This window comes from Homo sapiens, chromosome 14 (genome assembly GCF_000001405.40).
Source record: "Homo sapiens chromosome 14, GRCh38.p14 Primary Assembly".
Classification (NCBI taxonomy): Eukaryota; Metazoa; Chordata; class Mammalia; order Primates; family Hominidae; genus Homo; species Homo sapiens.
The window spans coordinates 24,239,450-24,247,322 of record NC_000014.9 but is presented as its reverse complement, the minus strand read 5'-3'; the positions used below and the strand labels follow the sequence as shown (position 1 = coordinate 24,247,322).

Genomic DNA, 7,873 nt, shown 5'->3' with positions numbered 1-7,873 from the left:
AACCCGGGAGGTGGAGGTTGCACTCCAGCCTGGGCGACAGAGTGAGACTCCATCTAAAAAAAAAAAATGAAGATAACGACCTCTGGTTTTTAGTCTGGCCTGTAACAAGCTTAGGAGTCCTCACTCCTGTCCTCACAAAGAAAAATGCTGAACAAACTGAAAGTCAGCAACTCTTGTTGGATCTATCAGAGAATTGAGGGCACAGGGCAAACTGCTGCCCCTAAAACTGGAGAGACAAAAAGGCAGATACAGAGAATCACAACTTAACAGCAGAAGCCCAGAAACAGAAACAGAAACAGAAACTTCTGGGGAGCCAGTACCAGGGTAGGAAAACTTAAAGTGTAATTGACTCATAGCTGGAGGCTTAGGGTGGACAAATTTGAGAGCTAAAAAATCTATAGTGGCCAGGCATGGTGGCTCATGCCTGTAATCCCAGCACTTTGTGAGGCTGAGGCACGCAGATCACTGAGCTCAAGGGTTCGAGACCAGCTTGGGCACCATGGCAAAACCCCATCTCTACAAAAAAGACAAAAAGTAGCCGGGTGTGGTGGCACATGCCTGTAATGCCAGCTACTTGGGAGGCTGAGGTGGATCACCTGAGCCTGGGGAGGTTGAGGCTGCAGTAAGCCGAGATCACGACACTGCACTGCAGCCTGGGCGACAGTGAGACTGTCTCAAAAAAAAAAAAAAAAAACAAAACATCTAGGGGTCCCATTCTTAGGGGGGACCCTACCCTTTTTTTGGTTTTTGTTTTTTATTTTTTGTTTCTTGTTTTTGTTTTTCCCAGGCTGGAATGCAGTGGTGCAATCACAGCTTACTGCAGCCTCCAACTCCTGGGCTCAAGCAATCCTCCTGCCTCAGCCCAAATAGCTAGGACTGCAGGTGTGTACCACCATGGCTGGCTTTTTTTTTTTTTTCTTTTGAGATGGAGTCTCGCTCTGTCACCAGGCTGGAGTGCAGTGGTGCGATCTCAGCTCACTGCAACCTCCACCTCACCTCTCAGGTTCAAGTGATTCTCCTGCCTCAGCCTCCTGAGTAGCTGGGATTACAGGCACGCGCCACCATGCCCAGCTAATTTTTGTATTTTTAGTAGAGACGGGTTTCACCATGTTGGCCAGGATGGTCTTGATCTCTTGACCTTGTGATCCACCCACCTCAGCCTCCCGAAGTGCTGGGATTACAGGTGTGAGCTACTGCGCCCAGTCACCTGGTTAACTTTTAGATTTTTTTGTTTGTTTGTTTTGTTTTTGTACAGACATGGTCTCACTATGTTGCCCAGACTGGTCTTGAACTCCTAGCCTCAAGCAATCCTAGGTGTGAGCCATGGCACATGGCCACAAGTTTTACCAGGATCCCACAGTGAAAACTGGAGAACCCCCTGCCCCGTGATTCTGGCAAAGGGGAGGAGGAAAGTAGCCACTTTGAAATACATCCATTGCATTCTGTTCTCACTCTGTTGCCCAGGCTGGAGTGCAATTCATTGCAACCAGGCTGGATTACAGCTCACTGCAACCTCAACCTCCTGGGCTCAGGCAATCTTTCCACATCAGCCTCCTGAGTAACTGGGGCTACAGGTGTGCACATCTATGCCTGGCTAGTTTTTCAATTTTTTTTGTAGAGACGGGGGTCTCGCCATTTTGCCCAGGTTGGTCTCAAACTCCTGGGCTCAAGCAATCCACCTGCCTCGGACTCCCAAGAAGTCAGCTACACAGAGATAGCAGCTGAAAATGAGTAATTCAGCTGGGCACGGTGGCTCACGCCTGTAATCCTAGCACTTTGGGAGGCCAAGGCAGGTGGATCGCTTGAGGTCAGGAGTTCGAGACCAGCCTGGGCAACATGGCAAAACCCCATCTCTACTAAAACAAAAATTAGCCGGGCGTGGTGGTGTACGACCTGTAGTACCACCTACTTGGGAGGCTGAGGCACCAGAATCGCTTGAACTTGGGAGACACAGGTTGCAGTGAGCTGATATTGAGCCACTGCATTCCAGCCTGAGCAACAAAGCAAGACATTGTCTCAAAAAACAAAAAAAACCCACTGTAACAGAAATGATGAATGTCTGTGATGGGCTCATCAATAGACTGGACATGGCCAAAGAACATGGTGCGCTTGAAGAAATGTCAACAGAAATTTCCAAAGCTGAAATGCAATGAGAAAAAAAAATGAAAAAGAACAGAATATCCAAGAATTGTAGGACAATTATAGAAGCTGTAGCATACACATAATCAGAATGGCAGAGAAGAAAATAAAGGAACATAAGAAATGTGGCAATAATGACTGAGAATTTCCCCCAAATTAATGACAGACACAAAACACAGATCCAGGAAGCTCAGAGAGCAGCAAGCAGGATAAATACAAAAAACAAAAAATGAAGATAGACTGGGCTGGGCAACACAGAGAGACACCCCTTCTCTACAAAACATATTTTTCTTTTTTTTTTTTTTTGTAGAGTCAGGGTCTCACTGTATTGCCCAGGCTGGTCTCAAACTCCTGGCCTCAAGTGATCCTCCCACTTCAGCCTCCCAAAGTTCTGGGATTACAGGCATGAGCCACCACACCCACCAAAAAAGATTTTTTAAAAAATTAGCCAGGGACTGCGTGCAGTGGCTCACGCCTGCGATCCCAACACTTTCGGAAGCCGAGGTGGGAAGATCGCTTGAGTCCAGGAATTCGAGACCAGCCTGGGCAACAAAGACTTGTCTCTACAAAAAATAGAAAAAAATGAGCCAGGCATGGTGGTGCATGCCTGTAGCCCCAGTTACTTTGGAGGCTGAGGCAGGAGGATCACTTAAGCCCAGGAGGCAGAGGTTGCAGTGAGCCAAGATCACTGCACTCCACCCTGAGCAACAGAGCGAGACTGTCTCCCCACCTCAAAAAAAAAAAAAGAGCCGAGCGCGGTGGCTCACGCCTTGTAATCCCAGCACTTTGGGAGGCCGAGGCGAGCGGATCACGAGGTCAGGAGATCCAGACCACGGTGAAACCCCGTCTCTACTAAAAATACAAAAAAGCCGGGCGCGGTGGTGGGCGCCTGTAGTCCCAGCTACTCGGGAGGCTGAGGCAGGAGAATGGCGTGAACCCAGGAGGCGGAGCTTGCAGTGAGCTGAGATCGCGCCACTGCACTTCAGCCTGGGCGACAGAGCGAGACTCCGTCTCAAAAAAAAAAAAAAGTAAAACAACAGAAGTTCATATCTACATAAGAAAGAAAGAACATTAGAGAAGGAATAAATAAAGGGAAAAAGGAAGATAACTAGAATTTCACACATATCCAATTTGGGGTACTTTGGGACTGGGTGTTTCTTGGGCAGTCGAATGTGCGGATCAGCTGAGACTGATCCGGGGCGGAGACAAGGATGTGTGAACCATTATCTCTGGGAATGGAAGACATGGGCTAAAGACGGAGCAGTTTCACTAAATCCTTGTAAGGTGGTCAAGGCAGGCAACTAATCCAGCCAACAATTAAGGAGTGTAAGCTGTGTGTTAGGTTCTGTGCTTGCTGATGGAAATGAGAGGCACCAGGAAGCCTGTGGAAGAGACAGTCAAGGAGAGCAGTCAATTACATTAGGGGGCTGACAAGTTCAGTGCACAACAGAATCCTAAAACAAGAAACTAATTTGTGTGTGTGTGTGAGACCCCGTCTCACTCTATCACTCAGGCTGGAGTGCAGTCACTGAAGCCTCAACCTCCCTGGCTCAAACAATCCTCCCAACTCAGCCTCCTGAGTAGCTGGGACTACAGGCGTGCCACTACGCCCGGCTAGTTTTTTTGATTTTCAGTAGAGACAGGTTATCGCCATGTGATCCAGTCTGGTCTGGAACTCCTGGGCTCAAGCGGATCGATCCTCCCCTCTCGGCCTCTCAGAGTGCTGGGATTACAGGTGTGAGTCACCGTGCCCCCAGCCTGTATTCTATTTCTTCTTCTTCCTCTTTTTTTTTTTTTTTTTTTCTTTGAGAGAGATTCTCCCTCTGTCGCCCAGGCTGGAATGCAGAGGCAAGATCGCGGCTCACTGCCACCTCCCGTCTACTGGGTTCAAGCGATTCTCCTGCCTCGGCCTCCCGAGTAGCTGGGATTACAGGCGCCTGCCACCACGCCCAGCTAATTTTTGTACTTTTAGCAGAGAAGGGGTTTCACCATGTCGCCCAGGCTTGTCTGGAGCTCCTGGGCTCAAGTGACCCTCCTGCCTCGGCCTCTCAAAGCGCTGGGATTAGACACAAGCCACCACGCCCAGCCTGTATTTTATTTTTTAAGGGCGGGCGCCCTCTTCTGTTTTATAAAAGGAACAGTCGAATTCCTACTGGAAGCGACGCGCGCAGAGGGGAAGGCTTTGTAGACGCCGGCTCGGGTCTGGAATTTAAAGAACTAAATTTCGATGGGTGAAGACAGTGGGAAAGGGCGGTGGCATGATCCTCGTTTTACAGACTAGGAAGTCGAGCCTCACGGGAGTGACGGGGCTTCTCCGCAGGCTCCGCGAAGAAAGCAAGGCTGGGAGGACCCAGACGAACGGCCACAACAGCCTCAGCGGCCACGACAGCCTCAGCCGCCAACTCATGTCAGCCGGCAGAGAGTGCAGGAAGCGGGCAGCTACAGCTCCGCTGGGGCGTGGCCTTCTGACGCACCGTCACGGTTCCCTCTGTGGCCGCCCATTGGCTCCCTCTTACCGCCCTTTTCCGGGGCAAGGGAAGCTAGTAGCGGAGCCGGAAGTGAGGCACCCTCGGGCTCGAGACAGCGGCGACGTTTAAAGCTGAGCGACCCAGTGCCACTGGAGACGGTCAGCTTCTCCACTCAGGCTCCTCCAGCCCGAGCCAGAAGACCCCCTCCCCCAGAATTCTGGGGGCCGATGGAAGGGAGCCGAGTCAGATCGCGAGGTACCCAGAGCCGACAGACCGGAGCGACAGGGAGTTGCCAGAAGCCCCGCCCCTAGGAGTGATCGGAAAGCCTCACCCATCCGGGTGAGGAACCCGGAGGGACCGCCTCCGGGCGGAGCCCGCCGACCATGGCTACGCCCCTGGTGGCGGGTCCCGCAGCTCTACGCTTCGCCGCCGCGGCTAGCTGGCAGGTTGTGCGCGGACGCTGCGTGGAACATTTTCCGCGAGTACTGGAGTTTCTGCGATCTCTGCGCGCTGTTGCCCCTGGCTTGGTTCGCTACCGGCACCACGAACGCCTTTGTATGGGCCTAAAGGCCAAGGTATTGGAGCAAGTAGGACCTGGAAGGGGAAAGAAAGAAAGGGGCGGGATGCGAGCACCTGACAAGGGCCCACAGCTTGGGGATGAGACTAGTTGGAAAAGGTCAGCTTGCCCCGAAGTGGGGATTCTGAATTCAGTACCGTACAGGTGGTGGTGGAGCTGATCCTGCAGGGCCGGCCTTGGGCCCAAGTCCTGAAAGCCCTGAATCACCACTTTCCAGAATCTGGACCTATAGTGCGGGATCCCAAGGCTGTGAGTAATCCCCGGAACAAGCCCTGACCCCAGTTACACTTGGTGCAGCAAAGTTGCTCCTCCTGTCTACTGGATGTTGGTGCTAACTTCTCTGTCTTCTGTATCCTCAACAGACAAAGCAGGATCTGAGGAAGATTTTGGAGGCACAGGAAACTTTTTACCAGCAGGTGAAGCAGCTGTCAGAGGCTCCTGTGGATTTGGCCTCGAAGCTGCAGGTGAGACTGGTTTGAAGGCTATTATGTGGCTATTTTCTCTAACCCATTTTTTTTTTTTTTTGAGGAATCTTGCTCTGTCGCCCAGGCTGGAGTGCAGTGGCACAATCTCGGCTCACTGCAACCTCTGCCTCCCGGGTTCAAGCGATTCTCCTGCCTCAGCCTCCCGAGTAGCTGGGATTACAAATGCCCAGCTAATTTTTGTATTTTAGTAGAGATGGGGTTTCACCATGTTGGCCAGGCTGGTCTCGAACTCCTGACCTCAAGTGATCCGCCCACCTCGGCCTCCCAAATGGCCAGGATTACAGGCGTGAGCCACCGTGCCTGGCCACTAACCCACTTTTGACCTAATCTCCCCTGCTGTAGGAACTTGAACAAGAGTATGGGGAACCCTTTCTGGCTGCCATGGAAAAGCTGCTTTTTGAGTACTTGTGTCAGCTGGAGAAAGCACTGCCTACACCGCAGGCACAGCAGGTTTCGCTGGGGCAAAACATGTAAGGGCAGAGTGTGGGGTGGCTGTTTCAAGGATTGTGGTCTTCATACCTCTGTCCCTGCCCACAGCTTCAGGATGTGCTGAGTTGGATGCAGCCTGGAGTCTCTATCACCTCTTCTCTTGCCTGGAGACAATATGGTGTGGACATGGGGTGGCTGCTTCCAGGTACTAGGAATTTGGAGGTGTAGTGTTTAGCCTGAGACCTTTTGAGGCAGTCCACTGGAATAGTTCCATGGGCTCCGGGCATAAGAAACCAGTTATTCTGTTACTATCTGTTCTCTTTATAAGGGGCCTCATTTTCTTTTTCAGAGTGCTCTGTTACTGACTCAGTGAACCTGGCTGAGCCCATGGAACAGAATCCTCCTCAGCAACAAAGACTAGCACTCCACAATCCCCTGCCAAAAGCCAAGCCTGGCACACATCTTCCTCAGGGACCATCTTCAAGGACGCACCCAGAACCTCTAGCTGGCCGACACTTCAATCTGGCCCCTCTAGGCCGACGAAGAGTTCAGTCCCAATGGGCCTCCACTAGGGGAGGCCATAAGGAGCGCCCCACAGTCATGCTGTTTCCCTTTAGGAATCTCGGCTCACCAACCCAGGTCATATCTAAGCCTGAGAGCAAGGAAGAACATGCGATATACACAGCAGACCTAGCCATGGGCACAAGAGCAGCCTCCACTGGGAAGTCTAAGAGTCCATGCCAGACCCTGGGGGGAAGGGCTCTGAAGGAGAACCCAGTTGACTTGCCTGCCACAGAGCAAAAGGAGTGAGTGGAACAGAGTTGCTTCTTACTAGGAGCACATTCTTTGCCTGCCTTCCCTTCATCCTATCCTCTTTGCTTGCTCTCACCTCAGGAATTGCTTGGATTGCTACATGGACCCCCTGAGACTATCATTATTACCTCCTAGGGCCAGGAAGCCAGGTAGGTAGTCTGAGTCAGGATTGGATCAACAGCCTCCTCTCTTGGGGACTCTCAAGAGCCTGTGTTCATCTAGAAGTAGTAGTTTGATTCTGGTTTCCCTCCTACAGTGTGTCCTCCGTCTCTGTGCAGCTCCGTCATTACCATAGGGGACTTGGTTTTAGACTCTGATGAGGAAGAAAATGGCCAGGGGGAAGGAAAGGTGAGTGGGAAGGAGCAGAAAGCTGGGAAAGGGGATGGGTAGAACAAGACTGAGAAATCCACATGCTTCAGAATTCAGAGGGTTCAGGGAATGGTTTCGGATAGTAGGCTCTCCCTGCTCCCTTCTCTACAGGAATCTCTGGAAAACTATCAGAAGACAAAGTTTGACACCTTGATACCCACTCTCTGTGAATACCTACCCCCTTCTGGCCACGGTGCCATACCTGTTTCTTCCTGTGACTGTAGAGACAGTTCTAGACCTTTGTGATAGAACTAAAATGCTCTCTGTACTCTAGTCTCCTGCCTCCTCAGCTCTGCAAGTAGTTTAGTAGGAATGAAGTGGAAGTCCAGGCTTGGATTGCCTAACTACACTGCTAAAAATATTTGTAATCCTTAATAATTAAACTTTGGATTTGTTAAAATACTGCCTTGATGTGAAGGAGGGGAATTAAGGTTTCCATAAGGTCAGCATAAGTCATTCCTTAGAAACAGAACTGGCCCTTCCAAACTGAAAGGATCCCTTTGCCTTTTTTTACTTCCCTTGCTAAGTGTTGTTCAGCTGTGCCTAAAAGGGTTAGCAGGGTTGAAAGCCTGGAAGAGAAATGTCCTTTGGTA

At 51.0% G+C, this 7,873-nt stretch overlaps 1 protein-coding gene across 5 annotated transcripts, besides 6 other annotated features; it reads left to right on the top strand.

Annotated features, from left to right (window-relative positions):
* Window positions 201–400: an enhancer, noted in NCBI's record as "active region_8202". NCBI's record gives its function as "activates an Ori minimal core promoter by ATAC-STARR-seq in GM12878 lymphoblastoid cells {active_cell/tissue: GM12878}" and the evidence as "EXISTENCE:reporter gene assay evidence [ECO:0000049][PMID:35858748]".
* Window positions 3,766–4,060: a silencer, noted in NCBI's record as "tiled region #7959; HepG2 Repressive non-DNase unmatched - State 1:Tss". NCBI's record gives its function as "represses a minimal TATA promoter and a strong SV40 promoter by Sharpr-MPRA in HepG2 cells {active_cell/tissue: HepG2}" and the evidence as "EXISTENCE:reporter gene assay evidence [ECO:0000049][PMID:27701403]".
* Window positions 4,252–4,551: an enhancer, noted in NCBI's record as "active region_8201". NCBI's record gives its function as "activates an Ori minimal core promoter by ATAC-STARR-seq in GM12878 lymphoblastoid cells {active_cell/tissue: GM12878}" and the evidence as "EXISTENCE:reporter gene assay evidence [ECO:0000049][PMID:35858748]".
* Window positions 4,649–7,683, top strand: TINF2 (TERF1 interacting nuclear factor 2). Of its 5 annotated transcripts, NM_001099274.3 has the most exons (9): window positions 4,700–5,182; window positions 5,329–5,433; window positions 5,547–5,648; window positions 6,012–6,119; window positions 6,207–6,303; window positions 6,448–6,904; window positions 6,993–7,060; window positions 7,168–7,259; window positions 7,392–7,680. In NM_001099274.3, the coding sequence occupies exons 1-9, from the start codon at window positions 4,991–4,993 to the stop codon at window positions 7,524–7,526; spliced, it is 1,356 nt and encodes a 451-aa protein (NP_001092744.1). In that variant the 5' UTR covers window positions 4,700–4,990; the 3' UTR covers window positions 7,527–7,680. The 5 variants fall into 5 exon arrangements, with proteins under 5 accessions (NP_036593.2, XP_011534944.1, NP_001092744.1 ...); NM_001363668.2 differs by lacking the exon at window positions 5,329–5,433; NM_012461.3 differs by having other exon boundaries at window positions 4,649–5,182; window positions 6,448–7,683.
* Window positions 4,722–4,981: an enhancer, noted in NCBI's record as "active region_8200". NCBI's record gives its function as "activates an Ori minimal core promoter by ATAC-STARR-seq in GM12878 lymphoblastoid cells {active_cell/tissue: GM12878}" and the evidence as "EXISTENCE:reporter gene assay evidence [ECO:0000049][PMID:35858748]".
* Window positions 5,052–5,271: an enhancer, noted in NCBI's record as "active region_8199". NCBI's record gives its function as "activates an Ori minimal core promoter by ATAC-STARR-seq in GM12878 lymphoblastoid cells {active_cell/tissue: GM12878}" and the evidence as "EXISTENCE:reporter gene assay evidence [ECO:0000049][PMID:35858748]".
* Window positions 5,932–6,461: an enhancer, noted in NCBI's record as "H3K4me1 hESC enhancer chr14:24710068-24710597 (GRCh37/hg19 assembly coordinates)". NCBI's record gives its function as "activates a minimal SCP1, AML or CMV promoter by ChIP-STARR-seq in naive H9 embryonic stem cells {active_cell/tissue: H9 hESC(naive)}" and the evidence as "EXISTENCE:reporter gene assay evidence [ECO:0000049][PMID:30033119]".